The 21,912-nt window shown below is 41.0% G+C and overlaps 1 protein-coding gene across 8 annotated transcripts in view; it reads right to left on the reverse strand.

Annotated features, from left to right (window-relative positions):
• VGLL4 (vestigial like family member 4) overlaps nucleotides 1-21,912 on the reverse strand; it is a 165,749-nt gene that overhangs the window by 115,386 nt on the left and 28,451 nt on the right. The gene's annotated exons all lie outside the window — the stretch shown is intronic.

Raw genomic sequence — 21,912 nt, forward strand, 5'->3', positions numbered from 1 at the left:
CCGGGGATTGGTCCCAGGACCCCCAGGTGTACAAAAATCCATGCATACTCAAGTTTCGCAGTCTGCCCTGCAGAGCCCACCTGTATGAAAAGTCAAGGGTTCCACATCCCACAAATACTCTATTCTTGATCTGCTTTGAAAAACATTCCCATATGGGGTGGTGGACCCTCACAGATCAAACATGTTGCTCAAGGGTCAACTGTATATGCCAGGCAGCAATATGCTTCCTAAAGGGACTCATTCTGAAGATATGTGATCTAAAAATTCACTTTTTTTTTTTAAATAACTTCAACTGGGAAAATTCCACGAAGCCAGACCCTGGGCTCAAAGCCCAGGATCCCAGCCACACATCTCTTAAAAATAGGTTTTCAAAATGCCTTGCATTTTTTAAAAAAGAATAGCATATTTGCCTAAAATTCTAGCCAAAATGCTTGATATTCACCACTCTATTATTATTTTTTGACTAACTTCTTCCTTGTTCAGTTCTCACTTCCTCCTCGCCTGTCACTAAGCTGAGTCACAAAGCTGTCAACGCTCTGCTGCTTGCCAGGTAGATGCAACTCCTTTCTCCATTTGTTTATCTCCTGCAAAGCGGAATAATTTTTCTAAATTCACTCAGATTCCCAGTGGCACACAGTATCATGCAGAACAGTTGTGGAATTAGGAAACCAACAAGAAATTTTGTACTTCCTGAAATTTTGTGGTTACTTCAAATCATCATCCTGTAAAGATAACAAGGATGAGTCCCTTTGCAAAGCAAAAATGCTAGTTAACTACAAAACTGGAATTTAAGTACGGAAGGTCAATTTCAAATGAATTCACAATGCAAAAATCTTTCAGACACCTGAGAAGTAACTTGACTATTGAACACTGTACTCGTAGAGTTAAAATAGCTCAAGAAGAACGCATATGCTTCTATTTAGTGTTTTTTTTTAATCCTGTTGCAAATTCTACTATTCTAGTATTTTCTTATGTTTAAAAATATCTTAATTCTCATTTACTATCCCTGGAGCAATATCCCTGGCAAATTCTTCATAATTCCCCATGAGTCTTCCAGCACAGATGCAGCTTTCCAAGTCAAAATTTGTACAAACATCATCTGTCAAACTTCTGCAAGGTAATGACATACTCATCCTGAGCTGTCACCTCCCCTTGCAGAGACTTTGCTAAAATTCTTAGCATAGCAAGGACTTTCAAACAGCTTTCTCCAGCCCATTCACTGTACAGGTGAGGACACGGAGAACCGGTAACTTGCTTTACTTCTACAAAAATGCTACAATGCAAATTTATAATGCTACGGAAAAGATTATCCTGGCTTCTTCACTTATGCATTTTCTAATAATCTACAGAAGGCAGAGACAGCCAATGATGAGAAATAAAAGCTCTCTATTTATAAACACGTACCTAAGAAGCTACTAATAAAAAATTCTATAAAAGGAAAACGAGAACACTGAACTCTCTATCATATTTGAAAAAGAAAGGGCAGACATCGCACAATTCAAACCCAGCTTCCAGACTTCAGGGAGCTCTAGAAACCTGACCAGCCCACAACAAAAGACCCAGCCACCGGACTGGGGGTTCCACAAACAGTCAGCCCTCAGAGATCACCCAACATTGGGGCTCAGAATATAAGTTTTGCACATCCCCTTTTTTGAATTCAGGAATGTCTTCCCTGCCCTTAATCACAAGCAGACAACCAGATATCTGAGGAAAGCTACTAACGTGGAAGATAGAGACCAAGTTAAACCAGAAAAGCAAATCAGAGGACACAGAGACTATACAAGAAGAAAATTAAAATATATATATATACCAAGTACCTCAGAATTACAGTATCCATAAAACAGGGTGTGATTTTTTAAATAGTTCTAGAAAACAAAAAACACAATAGCAGAAGTTTTGAAAATACTGACAGAAGGATTAGAAAATAAAGTTGAGAAAAATCTTCCAAAAAGCAGAACGAGTCCGGAAGGGAGAAAGGGGGAAAGGGGGGGAAGTAGACTAGTCCGGGAGGTCCAAAAACTGAAAAGTACAATTGCCAGAAGAAGAAAAGAAAGGAAGCTGAGATATGAAAATATATCAGTGGAATCTAAGAAATATCCCCCAGGAATGAGTTTCTAGATTGAAGGGGTTTACTGAGTGCCCAATATAATAGTTGCTTTTTCTTCTAAACCCCCAAGTCATGGCATTTGAAATTTCAGAACACTAGGGACAAACAGAAGATCCCAACAGTTTCCAGAGAGAAAAAACTGGTCACACACCAGCAGATACAAAATCAGAATGGCCAGATGTGGTGGCTCACGCATGTAATCCTAGCACTTTGGGAGGCCAAGGTGGGTGGATCACTTGAGGTCAGGGGTTCGAAACCAGCCTGGGCAACATGGTGAAATCCTGTCTCTACTAAAAATACAAAATTAGCTGGGCGTGGTAGCGGCGCCTATAATCCCAGCAACTCAGGAGGCTGAGGCAGGAGAATCACTTGAACCCAGGAGGTGGAGGTTGCAGTGAGCTGAGATCGCGCCACTGCACTCCAGCCTGGGTGACAGAGCGAGACTTTGTCTCAAAAAAAAAAAAAAAAAAAAAAAAAAGAAATCAGAATGGTTTCACATTTCCCATTGGTAACACAAAGCCAGAAGGCAATGGAGCTCGCCTCCAAAACCCTGAAGAAAAATCTACAACTGGGAATGCTACACTCAATCTATCAATCCAATGAGAATGGAGAATAAAGATGTTTTCTGCAATATCTCAAAATTTATCTCCCACACACTCTTTGTCAGGATAAGCTCTTCCAGCATGGAAGAGTGACCCCGGAAAGAGGACCACATGAGACACAGCACATGGGAGAAAAGTGAAGGATTCCCCAGAACGAACGCGAAGAGGGATCCCAGCATGGCACTTGTGTGTCCCAGACACGGAACTGCGGCTAGAGAGCCAAGACACAATCCCCGAGAGTTACTCTGTGCAGTCACTGTGCTAAGCAGTGCACAGACAGCATCTCATTTAAATTCTACAATAAGCCTGGAGATCAGCAATTATTAGCTGCTATTATGGGAATTTTAAAGATGGGGAAAGAGTCAGCTAGGTTAATCTCCCCACTGTCACACAGCTTTACATGGCAGAGATGAAAATTCAAACCCAGGCCTGCCACCCTTTTACACCTACACACGTGTCCACTGCAGGATTCTGTGAGATAAAACAGAAACCTGGAAATGTGAAGGAAAGAAAGGAAACACGGATTAAAAAGGCAAAGAGGACAGACACAAGAAACGGGACACCCAGGAAGAGATGAGCGATGGGTGTTATGCTGTTCTGTATTTATTTCCTATTTTAATGATTTTTCCAAATTGAAAAAGGAAGGGGAGAAATATAAGTGAACAGGAGGAGAAGAAAGTAATAAGGGGGGGAAATGGAAAGACATAGGAAAAAGACATGAGACTAAGGAATACAACTGGAATGACACTCTTTGGCATTCAGAAAGTGTAGTCTTAAATAGCATATTCTCCCTCGATGATGTGAAGTGATACATCTCATTCATTACTAAATGTTCAAATCCAAGGGATTCCCAAATTCCTTCCAACCATCTTTTCGGTTTTAACCAAAATGCAACATAGGCTGGGCGCAGTGGCTCACGCCCGTAATCCCAACACTCTGGGAGGCCGAGGTGGGTGGATCACCTGAGGTCAGGAGTTCGAGACCAGCCTGGCCAACATGGCGAAAACCTGTCTCTACTAAAAATACAAAAATTAGCCAGTCGTAGTGGCAGGCGCCTGTAATCCCAGCTACTCAGGAGGCTGAGGCATGAGAATCACTTGAACCTGGGGAGCAGAGGGCGCAGTGAGCCGAGACTATGCCACTCACTGCACTCCAGCCTGGGGGACAGAGCAAGGCACTGTCTCAAAAAATAAAAAATAAAAAAATAAAAAAATGTAACATAGGCCAGAACAGGCATGAACTATGCGTGATGTGCTTACTACATTCAGGGGTTCTAGGGCAGTATGGGGCTTGTCTAACTCCATGGACTCCTCCACCCATAAACCAACTCAGATGTGTTTGTTCATATGCTTTTAAACAAATAAAATGTTTTACACAAATGTAAAACCCCACGGAGAAAGAAAAAATATAAAAGTGTAATATATAAGTTATCCATTCCATAGACCTTTACAGAAGCTCACCTTAACAATGCTGTTACTTAGATATGGAAAACTCATTTGCCTAACATCTGCAAAACTGCTCAGAGATAACAAACTTAATTCTTTTTAGATACCTTTCTTAAGAGATTAGGCAATAAACATCATTTAGTTAATAATTTTCAACTAAAGCAAATACATTATATAAGTTATACCCAATAGAGTTGAAATATCCAATTCAGTAAAACAAACTGTTCAGTTAACTAGATTAATGGTAGCCTCATTAACAGATGTTCTGACTTGATTTGCGTGTTTTTCTTACATTTTACTCTCATACAAAAATGTCTGCTTGCCTTACATAAAGATATACATTGCCTTCAACAGAACCTAATTTACTTTATCATGTTTTATTCTTTACTCTCACTTTATCTTAGTTACACACCATATGTGACCTTCAAAAACCACAGAGAGCCAAGGACTATGAGCAGTTCAGAAATCCCACGGATTTGTATAATTAAAAATAATTTTTGGCCGGGTGCAGTGGCTCACGCCTGTAATCCCAGCACTTTGGGAGGCTGAGGCGTGTGGATCACGAGGTCAGGATATCGAGACCATCCTGGCTAACACGGTGAAACCCCGTCTCTACTAAAAATACAAAAAATTAGCCGGGTGTGGTGGTGGGTGCCTGTAGTCCCAGCTACTCGGGAGGCTGAGGCAGAAGAATGGCGTGAACCCAGGAGGCGGAGCTTGCAGTGAGCCGAGATTGCACCACTGCATTCCAGCATTCCAGCCTGGGTGACAGAGCGAGACTCTGTCTCAAAAAAAAAAAAAAAATAAAATAATAATAATAATAATAATAATAATAATTTTACAACACCTATAGGCTATTGATCTGAGTTAATAATTAAAGAAATATAAAAGAACATGGTGCTGAAGTATAATATTTCATCTACTGAATCACAAATCTTGAAAAGAAAGGCCAATATCCAATACAGGTGAAATTAATACAACTGTAACTATTTTGTGGCATGATAAATTTATTACAAACCATTTAGAACAGTTTGAATATATTTGGATATAAATATAAAAGGTTTGCATATAAATATAAAAAACATCTAAGAAGTGTTGTTATTTTATTCAGCAATCTTCCTAGAATTAGGAAAAAACTGAAAAGAAAAAGAATATTAAAAAATAGTCCCTACAATAATTATTATAAGCAGCCTACTTAATAAAAAGGGTAACGGATTAATAAGTAAATTATATTACATCAACTCCACATATTATGCTGCCACAGTAGCACTGTAAAATGGTTTAAAGCATTTGATCACTTTGTATTTAATCTATTCATTAAATTTTTTTGATATAAAAAAATTTAAAAAATAAAAGTCATGCGTAATTCTACCATTAAGAGATAACTACAGCTAAAACTGTTACACTTTTTTTACTGTGCAACACATGCATTTATGGCAGAGTTACTATCATCCTATATATGTAGTTTTATTGTTAAATATTTTGGTTGTTTTCAGTATTTTACAACACTACAATAAATATCACTGTGCAAATCTCAGATGATTTTCTTAGCATACATTCCTAAAAGGAGAACTATTGAGTTAATGGTATGAGTAGTGTGCCAACTGGTACTCCCATAAGTGAGTGAGTGTGGGTATAATTTGTAATATTTTTTAAAAGAACAGACTGCAATTTTTTTTTTTTTTGACAGGGTCTCACGCTGTCGTCCAGGCTGGAGAGCAATGGTGTGATCATGGTTCACCATAGCCTCAACCTCCCAGACAAGTGATCCTCCCACTTCAGCCTCCTGAGTAGATGGAACTACAGGCAAGTGCCACCACACCCAGCTAATTTTTTTTGTATTTTTTGGGAAAACATGAGGTCTCGCTATGTTGCCCATGGTGGTCTCAAACTCCTGGGCCCAAGTGATCCACCCACCTTGGCCTCCCGAAGTCCTGAGACCACAGACATGAGCCACCGCACCCAGCCCAGATTGCAAATTTTTAGAAGTGCTATAGCGCGTATGAACAAAAACTAGAATATACAAGTAACCAAGTTTTAAAATTTCAGTTAGGCCAGGCACAGTGGCTCACACCTGTAATCCCAGCACTTTGGGAAGCTGAGGTGGGTGGATCATGGTAAAACCTAGTCTCTACTAAAAAACAAAAAATTAGCCAGGCGTGGTGGCATGCACCTGTAGTCCCAGCTACTTGAGAGGTTGAGGCAGGGGAATCGCTTGAACCCGGGAGGCGGAGGTTGCAGTGAGCTGAGATCGTGCCACTGTACTCCATCCAGCCTGGCGACAGAGCAAGACTTCGTCTTTCAAAAAAAAAAAAAAAAGGAAAAGAAAAAACATCAGTTAATGTGTAGCCATATTGCTTTACAGTCTAAATGAATAACTTCTGGGCTAGCTTCAACGGACGCCATCATTCTCAGATTTTAGCCCTCAAGAATAGAGGCTCCCTAGTTTGCTTTTTGTTTTTGAGGCAATAGAGTCTCACTCTGTCGCCCAGGCTAGAGTGCAGTAGCGCCATCTCAGCTCAATGCAACCTCCCACCTCCTGGGTTCAAGTGATTCTGGTGCCTCAGCCTCCCAAGTAGCTGGGACTACAGGCGTGCGCCACCACATCTGGCTAATTTTTTGTATTTTTAGTAGAGATGAGGTTTCACTATGTTGGCCAGGCTGGTCTCAAACTCCTGACCTAAAATGATGCATCCGCCTCAGCCTCCCAAAGTGCTGGGATTACAGGCGTGAGCCTCTGCACCCAGCCCAAGGCTCCCTAGTTTGATTCACACCACATAAAATGCCTCTCTGACCCACAGCTAAATTCTTAGTGTCATGGTATTTTCCCTCCAGAACACAGAGTAGTAATTCTGACTTAATGACCTTTCTGCAGGAACGCCACTCGTGGCAGCAACATTCCTTTCCTTTAAAGTGGCTTTTGCTTAGCTGTGACCTTAGCATTTCATCCTAACCCAGGTGAGGAATATAAAGTCATTCATTATAATATTCTCCCTCAATCACTTGAGTCCAGGAGGTCGAGGCTGCAGTGAGCCATGATCGCACCACGGCACTACAGCCTGGGCAACAGAGTGAGACCCTTAATATACATACATTCTCCCTCTTTGTTTATGTTGGAAATTTTTTATAATAAAAAAAATTTAAGTACATTAAGTTTTAAAACAACTCATAGCAAAGGAATGTTCCTAAGAAGTGCCATCTAATTTTGTAAGTACAGTCATGCCCTGCATAATGACGTTTCAGTCAATGACAGATGGCATATGCCACGGTGGTTCCATAAGGCTATAAAGAGCTAAAAAATTCCTACTGCCTACTGACATCATAGCCGTCATAATGTTGTGCAACGCCTTACGTGTTTGAGGTGATGCTGGTGTAAACACACCTGCGCTGCCAGTCATATAAAAGTTTGGCAGATACAATTACGTGCAGTATATAATAATAATGAGAATAAATGACCCTGTTATTGGTTTATGTATTTACTGTACTTTTTATCACTCCTTTAGGGTACACTCCTTCTACTTACATGTATTTTTTAAAGTTAACTGTAAAACAACCCCAGGCAGGTCCCTCAGGAGGTGTCCAGAAGAAGGCATTGTTATCACAGGAGGTAACAGCTTCATGCAGTTACTGCCCCTGAAGACCTTCCAGTGGGACAAAATGTGGAGGTGCAAGACAGTGATATTGAGAATCCTGACCCTTGTCTAGGATAATGCGTGTGTTTGTGCCTGAGTTTTTAACAAAAAAGTTTTAAAAGTAAAAATTGAAAAAAAAAAATTTAGTAGAAAAATGTTTACAGAGCTGGGCGCGGTAGCTCACGCCTGTAATTCCAGCACTTTGGGAGGCCGAGGCGGGCGGATCATGAGGTCAGGAGATCGAGACGAGCCTGGCCAGCATGGTGAAACCCCGTCTCTACTAAAAATACAAAACTTAGCCAGGCGTGGTAGCATGTGCCTGTAATCCCTGCTACTCGGGAGGCTGAGGCAGGAGAACTGCTTGAACCTGGGAGGCGGAGCTTGCAGTGAGCCGAGATTGCACCACTGTACTTCAGCCTGGGCGACAGAGCAACACTCTGGCTCAAAAAAAAGAAGAAACATGTTTATAGAATGAGAATATAAAGAAAGAAAGTATTTTTGTTCAGCTGTACAATGTGTTTGGTTTTAAGCTAAGTATTATTATGAGTCAAAAAGTTTTTTTAAAAAAAGTTTATCAAGTTAAAGGTACAGTAACCTAAGGTTAGTAATTTACTGAAGAGAGAAATATATTTTAAAAATAAAGTTAGTGTAGCCTTCATGTACAGTGTTTGCAGAGTCGTAGGACACACGACTGTCCTTGGCCCTCCCATTCACTCACCACTCACTACTCACCCAGTGCAACTTCCAGTCATGGTAAGTGCCCTATACAGGTATTTCAATGCTTATCTTTTATTCTGTATTTTTACTGTAACTTTTCTATGTTTAGATACACAAATACTCATCACTGTGTTCAAACTGCCCACAGTATCCTGTGCAGTTGCGTGCCACAGGGGTTTGTAGCCCAGATGCAACAGGTGATCCCACACAGCCTAGGTGTGCAGTGGGCTGAGTGCAGTGGGCTGTGAGCCTGGGTTCATCAAGCACGCTCTGCGATGTTCGCAGATGACACAATTGCCTAAGGACGCATTCTCAGGAGTATCCCTGCTATGCAAAGCCTGACTGTACTCCCTGTTATAACCATGAGCTGTTTTCCACAGCAGCATGGTCATCACTATCCCCAGACACCACCAAATTTACATCTACTCAGAGAAATAATTATATTCAATTTAAAATTTTAAATAAGTACTACACAAAGATACTCTGGAAGGTCAAAAGCCGCATCATCCTTGGCCTGAGGAAATCAAGATGATCACAGGGCTGTGCGGGAGACCAGTAGTGCCAAAACACAAGGTCCAGTAACACACTAAGACGAATCCCAGGAAGACAGCGGGAGGACATCGCACAACGTCTCAGTGCACACCATTCAGCCACTCTTTTCTCACCCACACACTGATGCCAACTTCCTGAGTAACATTCCGAGTAAAACGTGCACGACTCACTCCAGACAGTCCACTTAGTGTCCACCCACACTCACGTGGCATAATGGAAAGGACGCCTGCTAGGAAGTCAGCCAGGCCTGGTTTCCCATCCCATCTCTGCCACCGACTTGCTGTGAGACCACAGGCAAGCTGCGAGCCCTGCAAAGCAGAGATGACGCTTCTCACCTCAGCACTTAGTATGGCACCTGGTGTGGCACAGGCACGCGATGAGTATCTGTTGAGTGAATGGGAGGGTGGCGGAATCCCCGCCGTGAAGCTGCCTACACGATTTCAATGGGAGCCTCCCACTCCCCCGCCCCCACGCCTCCCTTCCCTTCTCTTTCTATGGGTCTCTGCCTTCCCTCCCTCAGAAACGTGCTAGTCCCATGGCGTTCATAATTGTTCTTTCTAAATACATTCCAAATCATATTTCTTTTTTTGTTTGTTTTGTTTTGTTTTGAGACGGAGTCTCGCTCTGCCGCCCAGGCTGGAGTGCAGTGGCGCGATCTCCGCTCACTGCAAGCTCCGCCTCCTGGGTTCACACCATTCTCCTGCCTCAGCCTCCCGAGTAGCTGGGACTACAGGTGCCCGCCACCACGCCCGGCTAATTTTTTGTATTTTTAGTAGAGACGGGGTTTCACCATGTTCGGCAAGATGGTCTCAAACTCCTGACCTTGTGATCCACCTGCCCCAGCCTCCCAAAGTGCTGGGATTACAATACCCAGTGTGCCTTTCTTCATTCATTCATTCAGGAGCCTGGCTGTGCTCTAGACACTGCGAACACAGCATTAAGTAGGCTCGGCGTTGGGAGCCCGCTGTGATACAGCCCGTCGGCTCATGGAGGAGCTGACCTTCCACCGGGCACCATGGGCACAGGGCCTTGGGCCCACAGCACTTTTGGGGCCCATGAAAATTGTTTGTTTCCACAATCTCAGAAGAAAAAACATGAACTATTAGGATGAAAAAAATGTTTTACTATATAGTATTAATATTTCATTTGCATACCAATGCAGTTGTAAAATATAATTTGTAATATCTTTTTAATGAAGGAAGGGGCCTACAGAGGCACAGATGCCTCAGGCTCATGAGTGTCAGATGCAGCCCAAGGAAACACATGCTAAGGATGGAATGCAAAGGAGCCAGCGAGTAAGATTCGAGAAGGGCGTTTCAGGCAGGGAGCATAGCTGCTGCACAGGTCCTGAAACAGGGCGACGGCCATAACAGTGCGAGGGAAACAGGTGACATGACAAAGGCCGGGTGTGGCCACATCTCCAAGGCATAAAGACAAAGTGGGACACAGTTAAAAATGATACGGGATTTAGGCCGGGCACAGTGGCTCACACCTGTAATCCCAGCACTTTGGGAGGCCAAGTGGGTGGATCACTTGAGGTCAGGAGTTCGAGACCAGTCTGGCCAACAAGGCGAAATGCTGTCTCTAATAAAATTACAAAAATTAGCCAGGTGTGGCCGGGTGCAGTGGCTCACGCCTGTAATCCTAGCACTTTGGGAGGCTGAGGCAGGTGGATCACTTGAGGTCAGGAGTTTGAGATCAGCCTGGCCAACATGGTGAAACCCCATCTCTACTACAAATACAAAAAATTATCTGGGCGTGGTGGTGGGCACCTGTAATCCCAGCTACTTGGGAGGCTGAGGCAGGAGAATAGCTTGAACCCGGGAGGTGGAGGTTGCAGTGAGCTGAGATCGCACCACTGCACTCCAGCCCGGGTGACAGTACAAGACCCTGTCTCAAAAAAAAAAAAAAAAAAAAAAAAATAGGCAGGTGTGGTGGTGGGCACCTGTAATCCCAGCTACTCAGGAGGCTGTGACACAAGAATCACTCGAGCCCAGGAGGTGGAAGCTGCAATGAGCCAAGATCTCACAATTGCACTCCAGCTTGTGTGACAGAGTGAGACTTTCTCCGATGAAGAATATAACTTTCTCTGATGCTATTGAAATGCCTCCTTTCAATAGCGATGGAAAGTGGAAGAGTACCAGGAGTAGTTACAAGGTGTAGATTTCCACATAATTGAACTTGTCCAACTCCTAAAACTGTTTAATAACGGACAGTTTAGTGAAGTAACAAACTTTCCATCTCTTACATCCAAGCAGAGGATAGAAGCCAAATGTCAGGAATCTTGCAAAGGGAACCCTGCATAAAAAGGAAGATTGAACAAGAGGACAATCAAGGTCCTATCCATTCCTACAGGCCTAAATTAGCATCTTCTGCATGGAAGTCTTCAAAGGGAAGCAGAGGTTTCCTGCAAGTGGGGCAAATTAAACTACACGAGAGGCCAGGCGCGGTGGTTCACACCTGTAATCCCAGAACTTTGGGAGGCCGAGGTGGGCAGATCACCTGAGGTCAGGAGTTCAAGACCAAATGGCCAACATGGTGAAATGCTGTCTCTACTAAAAATACAAAAACCAGCCGAGCGTGGTGGTGGGCACCTGTAATCCCAGCTACTCGGGAGGCTGAGGCAGGAGAATTGCTTGAACCTGGGAAGCGGAGGTTGCAGTGAGCCGAGATCACAACAGAGCGAGACTCTGTCTCAAAAAAATAAAAACAAACCACATGAGATATGACCTTACCCCAATCAGAATGGCCATTTATTAAAAAGTCAGGAAACAATAGATGTTGGCATAGACATGGTGAAAAGGGAACACTTAAATACTACTGGTGGGATAATAAATTAGTACAACCTCTATGGAAAGCAGTATAGAGATTTCTCAAAGAACTAAAAGTAGATCTGCCATTCAATCCAGCAATCCCACTACTGGGTATCTACCAAAAGGAAAAGAAGTCCTTATATTAAAAAGACACCTGCATGTGTACATTTGTTGCAACACAATTCACAATTGCAAAGATACTGAATCAACTTCAGTGCTCATCAATCGATGAGTGGATAAAGAAAATGCGATGTGATAACCTGAGGTCAAAAGTTCGAGACCAGCCTAGCCAACGAAACCCTGTGTCAACCAAAAATACAAAAATTAGCCAGGCATGGTAGTGCATGCCTGTAATCCCAGCTACTCCGGAGGCTGAGACAGGAGAATTGCTTCAACCCAGGAGGCAGAGTTTGCAGTGAGCCAAGATTAGACGACTGCACTCCAGCCTGGGTGACAGAGGAAAAAAAAAACCAAAAAACTCAACCTTGTAAAAATAACTCAACTCTTACCTTTGATTATGGCATCCTGTAATGAAAATTTTAAATCCTATATATTCTAAAGGTTTTACTTTTTAACTTCTGGATATTAGTCTTACTTAAGGACTTCCCAGACAGGTGTGATGGATCACACCTGTAATCCCAGAACTTTAGGAGGCCAAGGCGGGTGGATCACTTGAGGTTAGGAGTTCGAGGCCAGCCTGGCCAACATGGTAAAACCCCGTCTCTACTAAAAATGCAAAAATTAGCTGGGCCTGATGGCACTTACCTGTAGTCCCAGCTACTTGGGAGGCTGAGACAGGACAATTGCTTAAACCTAGGAGGTGGAGGTTGCAGTGAGCTGAAATCACACCACTGCACTCCAGTCAGGGTGAGAGTGAGACCCTGTCACAAAGAAAAAGGAAGGACTTCCCTACCACAAGTTTGTTATTATAATATATATGAAGAATATAAACTTTTAAATATATGGTTAAGTTCTTTAATCCATATGAAATTTATTTTGGATAGATTTTGGGATGGAAATTTATGCTAACAAATTTAGCATGAGGTAAAAAACTTTCCCTTTTTTTTTCTTTAAAAAAAAGACAGGGTCTTACTTTGTCACCCAGGCTGGAATGCAATGGCATGATCATGGCTCACTGCAGCCTTGAACTCCCAGGCTCAAGTGATCCTCCCACCTCAGCCTCACAAGTAGCTAGGACCACAGGCATGCACCACCATGCCCAGCTAATTTTTTTATTTTTTGCAGAGACAGGGTTTTGCTATTTTGCCCAGACTAGGCTCGAACTCCTGAGCTCAAGCTATTGGACCACCTCAGCCTCTCAAAGTGCTGGGATTACAGATGTGAGCCACCACGCCTGGTCCCTAACATAACTTTCTTCCAAATAACTGGCCAACTGTTTCAACCTTTTTCTGTGTGTGTGTGTGTGTGTGTGTGTGTAAACAGAAAAGTAAAATTTCTATTTTCATTTGCAATTCCTTTTGGTTTTCTTTTCCGTTTGTTTGCTTTTTGAGTTTTTTGTGATTTTTTTAAGTTCAGAAATAAATGTGCAGTTTTGTTTTATAGGTAAACTTGTGTCACAGGGTTTGTAGTACAGATTATTTTGTCACTCAGGTACTAAGCCAAGTACTCAATGGTTATTTTTTCTGATCCTCTCCCTCCACCTGCCTTCCATCCTCAAGTAGGCCCCAGTATCTGTTATTCCCCTCTTTGTGTCATGAGTTCTCATCATTTAGCTCCCACTTATAAGTGAGAATGTGAGGTATTTGGTTTTTTGTTCCTGCGTTAGTTTACTAAGGATGATAACCTCCAGCTCCATCTATGTTCCTGCAAAAGACATGATCTCGTGCTTTTTTGTAGCTGCATAGTATTCCATGGTGTTGTTTTTTTTTTTTTTTTGAGATGGAGTCTCGCTCTATTGCCCAGGCTGGAGTGCAGTGGTGCGATCTCAGCTTACTGCAACCTCTGCCTCCCAGGTTCAGGCAATTCTCATGCCTCAGCCTCCTGAGTAGCTGGGAATACAGGCGCGTGCCCCCACAGCTGGCTAATTTTTGTATTTTTAGTGGAGACGGGGTTTCATCATGTTGGTCAGGCTGGTCTTGAACTCCTGACCTTGTGATCTGCCTGCCTTGGCCTCCCAAAGTGCTGGGATTACAGGTGTGAGCCACCAGGCCTGGCCACATTTTCTTTATGTAATCTGTCACTGATGCACAGTTAGGCTGATTCCAAGTCTTTGTTATTGTGAACAGAGCTGTAATCAACATTCACATGTGTCTTTATGGTAAAATGATTTATATTCCTTTGGGTATATACCCAGAAATGTGAAAAGATAATCTACAAAATGGGAGAAAATATTTGCAAATCATTCATCTGATGAGAGTCTAGTAGCCAGAATAGATAAAGAATTGTTACAACTCAACAACAGAAAGACAACAACTCAACTCAAAAATGGGCAAAGCAAGAGGTCAAGGCGGTGGTGAGCTATGATCACACTGCTGCACTCTAGCTTGGGTGACAGAGCGAGACTCCATCTCAAAAAAAAAGCTTTTTTAAATGGGCAAAGCACTTAAACAGTCATTTTTCCAAATCAGCTATACAAATAGCCAACCGGCACATGCAAACATGCTCAACATCACTAATCATTAGGCAAATACAAATCAAAACAACGAGATACCACCTCACGCTTACTAGGATAGCTACTATTTAAAAAACAAAATAACAAATGTTGGTGAGGATGTGGAGAAATTGGAACCCTTGTGTATGGGAATGTAAAATGGTCCAGTCTCTATGGAAAACAGTAGGGCAGTTCCTCAAAAAATTTTTAAAAAATTTCCATATGATCCAGCAGCTCTGCTTCTGGGTATATACCGAAAAGAACTGAAAGCAGGCTCTCAGAAAAAATATTTGCACACTCATGTTCATAGCAGCATTATTCACTTGGGTCTGTTGATCTGTCCATCCACAGATAAATGAACAGTGGCCTATACATACAATGGAATATTATTTCGTCCTAAAAATGAAGGAAATCCTGATACATGCTACAATATGGATGAACCTTGAGGATATTATGGTAAATGAAGTCAGTCAGTCACAAAAAGTCAAATATCGTATGATTCCACATATATGAAGTACCCAGAATAGTCAAATTCCTAGAGACAGTGGAGCGGTGGTTGCCAGGGGCTGGTAAATGGGGAAATGGGGAGTTACGTGTTCAAAGGATGTAGACTTTCAGTTTTACACAATGAAAAGAGTTATGGATGGGTGGTGGTGATGGTTGCCCATCACATGTATTTAATACCACTGAACTGTACACTTAAAATGGTTAAGATGGTAAATTTCATGTTATGTGTATTTCATCACAATAAAAAACAATTTTTTAATCATTCTTCCTCCATGGATTTTAAATTTTGTCCCTATGACATATAAATTCCTATACCTCACGTGTATACATGTTTCTGAGCTCCATTCTGTTTCGTTTATTCTATCTCGGCATTTTTCAAACAATAAGGCACAATCCATTGGTGGTTCCTAAAATAGGTTGAATAGATTATAACCACCATTATTGTTGTTATCTTCTAATGAAGTAGAATAGGATAGAAAACAGAATACGTCTAACATAGTAAAGTATTAACCCATGAAATTTGTTTATATACATACATATGTATAGGTGGTGTTGGCTGAATTGTAAAATACATTTGTTACTATGGATTTGTAGCTCAAAGTTTAAGAAACACTGCTGTAATTATCCCTATGTCAGTATTATCCCATTCCAACTACTTCATAGCAATAAAATTTATAAAGTGTTTTAATGTCTGATATTAAAATAAGCAAGCAACTCCCTTCCCTCCCCACCTCTTATCTTTCAAAATTTTTCAGGTAAACTTAAGAATCAGCTTATCAATTAAAAATAATACTTTTGATATTCCAATTAGGATGTATTTAATGTACAGATTAATTTGAATGTAACTGACATCTTTGACTGAATTTTCCTATGTAGAAATATAGTATTTCCTTTTATTCAGAAAAGGAAATACATGCCATATTTCTATTTCAGTAGTTTTATGATTTATTCACAAAGGTCTTAACATGTATCTTGTTAGATATGTCCCTAAATAATTGAAGTCTATGGTTGATATGGGAATGAGTTTTGTTTTTGTTTTTGTTTTTTTGTTTAAGAGATATGGCTCTTGCTATGTTACCCAGGCTGGTGTCAAACTCCTGGCTTCAAGCAATCCTCCCACTTCAGCCTCCCACAGTGCTGGGATTACAGGTGTGAGGCACTGTACCCGGCCCTGAGACTTTTGAGATAATTTCTAACTGGTTATTTCAAGAGAACAAAGATAATATTGATTTTTACATATCACTCTTATAACCAGCTGCCTTAATTAAGTCTCTAATCAGTCCTAGGAGGTTTTCCCCCATTTATTGTTACGATTTTCTGGTAGGCTATTATGACATCTGAAAATTATAGTTTTTCCTATATCTTTTCAGTTTTTATATATCCCTTTTTTAAGAAAAATCACTAGCTAGAACGTCAAGTTCAATGCTACTTGAGTTGTGTCTTGCTCCTAACTTAATCTGTTCCACCATTAAACATATTCATTGTAAGTTTCTATCAGATATATTTTATCAATTAAAGACAGTTTCTTTTGATTTACATCTTATTGTTTTTATCACAAATAGGTGCCGAATTTCATGAAATACTTTTTTAGACTTCTGTCATAAATATATTAATTTTTCCTTTAATCTGTTAAAGTAATATAATTTATTACATTACAAAAGTTACTATTATTGAAACATCCTTGCATTCTTGTGATGCAAATGGCTTACTTCGACATGGGATATGTTACTCTTTCAATATAATTGCTAGCCTGAATTTTATTTAACTTTGTACTCTCATATCTATGTACTTGATTTTATATACATACAACTTTGTGTTTTATTTGGCTTTAGTATCATGTTATATTAGCCTCACAGAAAGAATTACAAAGTGCTCTATACTATAAAATAGTCTTATAACATAGGGAAATCTGTTTCTTTAGGATTTGGTAAAATTCACCTATAAAACCATATGGGCCTCACATCTCTGACTACTTGTTAAATTTTTACCATGATTATTGACCAATTTAGGTTTTTAACCTCTTTCTGATTCAAACAGAATCATCTATTTCATCTACATTTTCCATTTTTTGGTTACATGTGCATATATTTGTATAGTATTCTCATCTATATACATAGTAATATCCCTTTTCTTGTTTCATATATGTTCTATAATTATACATTTTGTTCTTTTTCTTAATGAATTCACCAAAGGTTTGTTTAATTTATTGATCTATTTTAGAAAACAGTTTTTGGTTGTCAGTTTTTGGTTGTATTTTTTAGGTTTATTGGCTTATCTTCATTTATAAAGATAAAAGTAGACTGGGCGTGGTGGCTCATGCCTGTAATCCCAGCACTTTGGGAGGCCGAGGCGGGTGGATCACCTGAGGTCAGGAGTTCAAGACCACCCTGGTCAACATGGTGAAACCCCGTCTCTACAAAAATACAAAAATTAGCCGGGCATGATGGTGGGTGCCTGTAATCCCAGCTACTCGGGAGGCTATGACAAGAGAATCGCTTGAACCCGGGAGCTGGAGGGAGGTTGCAGTGAGCCAGTATCGTGACACTACACTCTAGCCTGGGGACTGAGTGAGACTCCATCTCAAAAAAAAAAGAGAGAGAGAGATCAATTTTTTTTCTTTTGGAGGGATTGAGGAGATACTGGTTAAAAAATACAAAATTTCAGCACAATGAACAAATGTTCTTAACTGAAAACAGAGGAAAAAAGTTTTCTTCTTTCTGCTTTGGGTTTGTCTTGTAGTGGAGGGTGTTCCTTTGGCTCACTTACTTCCCATTTTTCTAATAAATGCATCTTCTTTTCAATGTTTCTTGGCCTCAGCCCACCAGAACATGCATCTGATGCATGTTAAGACTCTGGGGTTGACCTCCATGCCTGTTCCTTTCCTCGTCCCGCTTCCTATCTCTGACTTTTTGATCGTTCTGCAATGTTTTGCTCTCTATCTTCCAGACCGCTAATTTGGTCTTTAATTCTATTTGCTTCTCAAGCCAACCTAGTTAACCTTTTAAGTTCAATCACCACATTTTTAATGTCCATGAACTTTCTTGTTCTAAAAGATCTTTTTTCACAACAGGCTACTTAGATTCACTATACAGCAGCTCAAATCTCTTTGAAGATACCGACTAACATGTTTTTGGCTTCTGCTATGCGCCCCAAAGTCTGCTTACTCTGGGCTTTTTCTTTCATACTATTTATTCTCCTCAAATGTCTGGTGATCCTTTGATGTGCATTCACACTTTGGAATAAAAGACTGGGCCAATCAACAAGGGAAACCACTGCATGCTTCCAGTCTGGTATTAACGCTCTCCTGGGGAAGGCCAGCTACCTGCAGGCTCCGTGTAAGAGGACAGAAAGTGTCCAATGATGGGCTTTGCTTTAAGGTATACAAGTAAACAAGCACGGAGGCAGAGTGGGGGACAAACACCAAATCTGCCAAAACAGTCTCTCCTCCAGTGGCGAAGGACGTTCACAGATACCGCCTGCTAGAGGGCCTACATTTCCTTCCCAGGACCCCTGTTACTGCAGGAGCCCGCAGGGATCTGACACTCTGCTCGGCTTCTCTCTCAGGCCCCAACACCCCCTCAAGGATCCCTCCCCAGACACAGTTCTCAGTTTTTAGCCAGAGACCATTGTATAAATGTAATGCTTCGATTTCCTAAATATTACTCTAGGGCCCCTTCCTGTTGGTGGTTGTTAGTCACTGTAAACTCAGCTTTTAATCCCCCCCTTTTCTTTTGCACCTGTGTTTTGAGTTACAATTGTTTTGTTTTTGTTTTCCTTTTGTCAATATAATCCCATCTGTTTTCAGTCTTCCAGGAATTCTTCATAACTTTTAGTTTAATAGAGGTAGGCATCCTTTCAAATTTTCTAATACTATTACAGATGTTTTAAAATATTTACCTTTTGTTATTTAAAAAGATTTTTGGCAAGAGAGAAGCTGGATGCATGTGTTCAGTCTGCCATTTTACTCCTAAAAATCCAGATTGTCCTCCTGAATGCCTAAATACTTTTTTCTAATTTAAAATGCTTTATTCAAAGCACCCTAAACTAGTACTTCGCTAGGAAACTGAAAAATATTCCTCTTAATTCTGCTTGCTAGTGAACAGAACAGACTTTAGGCCTCTTGAATTCATTTTAAAAGTAACTACAGTCCAGTTAAACAAGGTAAGGTCCACAAAAGAAAAGACGTTTAAGCAACATTTTCCAAAGAGAGAAAAAAAAACACATATATGTAAGGTTTGATGAGACAGGCAGTCCTAGAAAAACAAATGGTACTTCACCAGATTTCAAATGTAAAGATTTATTCATTTACAAGGAATCAAAAGTTTGATCCAATAAAAAGGCAGTTACAATAAATCTAAAGCCAATGAGGATTAAGTTTGATTTTTTCAAGCTTGATTTGATTTCTATAAAAGTATAAACCCCAAATATATTGCTTCTACACATTATATGCACATCAGATGCCAAGTCAACGAGTATTTCATAAATGTATAACATAAATATTTAAGAAAGCAAAAGAGTATAAAGAAAAGATGTGGCCTTTGTCTTTTAAAAACAGAAAATCTGAATAGGAAAAAACTATACACGTATCTAAATCTCCACACAGAGATAATGATAGACGTAGAAGATGGTGTCATGTTACATCCCACTTTTTCAGCTCTTACAGAATTGCTACAGTAATTCACAAGTATGGTGAGGGAGGGAGAGTAGCTGAAACAGGTTGTTGTTGTTGTTGTTGTTTTTTATCTGTTATTTTAGGTTTTACTAATGGAAGTATTGAGACTAGAACAAAAAGCACATACTAGATAGATACTTACCTGACCAATCCTGGCAAGAGGACTATTGTCTCACTCACATGGAATTTTAAAAATCTGAAAGTCTTACATAAAAATCCAGGTTTCCAGTTTGTCTTGAGTAGTCAGAAAAGCTGACAAATCCAGCCCCACATTCCTATGGGAAATCATCAGCTGGTGTGCTGGTAAACGTTAACAACTGGCTCTCTATAGAAGAAAAACAAAAGCAAAAGCCCCTGATCTGTATAGCATTTGCCATGGTGTAAATACACCCATCATGGCTGATTTCAAGCTCCCAACGTGATGCCTGGAAATGACAGGCACAATCAGCTCATGGACAACAGTGGCCAGAGCTGAGTGGTGGCTGCCCCTTGGACAGGAGTTACGGGCCTTCCGTCCTCACTGCTCCCTATAGTCTTACAGTGGCTGCTACCTGCACTGGCACCAGCCCGCCCCACCCCTTTCTCTCTCTTCACCCCCAAGAATTCCTGAGCCAGATCCAAGCTGGTGGTAGTGCTGGGCACAATGTCCTCCTAATCCTCATCAGACCACATGGAAAAATCATTGCTTAGGTACCACATTTTAGGAGGGGCACTGCCAAGCCTGAGTAGGTAAAGACAGCAATGAGCTCAGAAGACATCTCCAACACAGGATGGCTGACAGCACTGGAGATGTTCACACCAGATACTGACCGGGGCAGTGACTCTCAAAGTGGAGAGAGAAGAGATGATGGGTAGGGAGAAGTGCACCAAATGAAAAAAAAAAAAAAAAAAGAACTACTTCATCCAAAAATTCTTGACTCTGATATGTTAAATTCAATTGCAAATGACATTAACCATCCACAACACTTTTATGTGTATTAAAGGAAAATATGGATCTCTAAGGATTGTGAAACATTTGTTTAAAGGAAACAGTCACCCTCCTCAAGTGTCTAAACAGCTATTCAGTGGAAGAATCTATTTTCAGCATCCATTATGCTAATTAACAAGGCATGTTATTTTCACCAGTGGATATCCAATTTCTAACATTTATTATGCTAATTTGATCTGATATAAAACTATAAAAATAGCAGAGACACTGGTAGTAGCTGTCTCTGGAGGGCAGCCCTTCTGATTAAAGGCCAGATGTCTAGCCCTGGATGCCCCCACTTAGAGAATGGCTTAAATAAGCACCTAATCCACCTGATGTTTTATGAAGCCTTTTGAATTAGAATAGACTACTGGGAGATGGTATTTTTTGATGTCATTGTTCACAAAAGGGAAGCAACTGAAAGCGCCGACTTTTAGAAAGAACAGAAACATCAGTGCTTATTTTAAACCTAATGGGAGCTTAGGAACATGGTCCAGTCAGAGGAGGAGCGCTCCCCTGTGGTGCCTGAAGCACTCGACTGTCCACAGCTGCCGACACTCACCTGGGAACTACTGTTCTGATGATCCCAGCAGCAACGCACAATTCAGTGCGCCAGCACCAAAGGAGGAAGGAAGACAGAGGTTTGTTTGGGTTGGTTTTTTTGAGGGGGGGTGGGGGGATGTTTATTTTACTTTAATCTTGAATTAGGCATCCAACTTCTCCTAATTTTTATTCTCTTAATTTTTTCTCTGATACCTCCCCCACCCAGTCTACTGCAAAGGCTCTTGCTATAAGAAGTAATGAAAATAGGCCAGGCGCAGGGTCTCATGCCTGTAATCCCAGCACTTTGGGAGGCTGAGACAGCGGAGTTGCTTGAGCACAGGAGTTCAAGACCAACCTGGGTGACGTGGTGACACCCTGTCTCTACCAAAAATACAAAAAATTAGCTGGGTGTGGTGGTGTGTACCTGTGGTCCCAGCTACTCGAGAGGCTGAGGTGGGAGGATCACTTGAGCCCCAGGGGGCGGAGCTTGCAGTGAGCCAAGATTGTGCCACTATACTCCAGTCTGGGCAACAGAGCAAGACCCTGTCTCAAAAAAAAAAAAAGTAAATGAAAATGTTTTGTAAACTACAAAGTATTATCAAATAGAAATAGTATTCCTTGGAATTTGTACATTATTAGTAGCAACAGTGATCTTTAAAATGAGTCATTTCTGCTAGTGTTTAATAAATTAATTCCTTAGAGATAAGCCTCCCTGCAGGGGCTACTTCATTACCAATAAATGTT

This window comes from Homo sapiens, chromosome 3 (genome assembly GCF_000001405.40).
Source record: "Homo sapiens chromosome 3, GRCh38.p14 Primary Assembly".
Taxonomy (NCBI): Eukaryota; Metazoa; Chordata; class Mammalia; order Primates; family Hominidae; genus Homo; species Homo sapiens.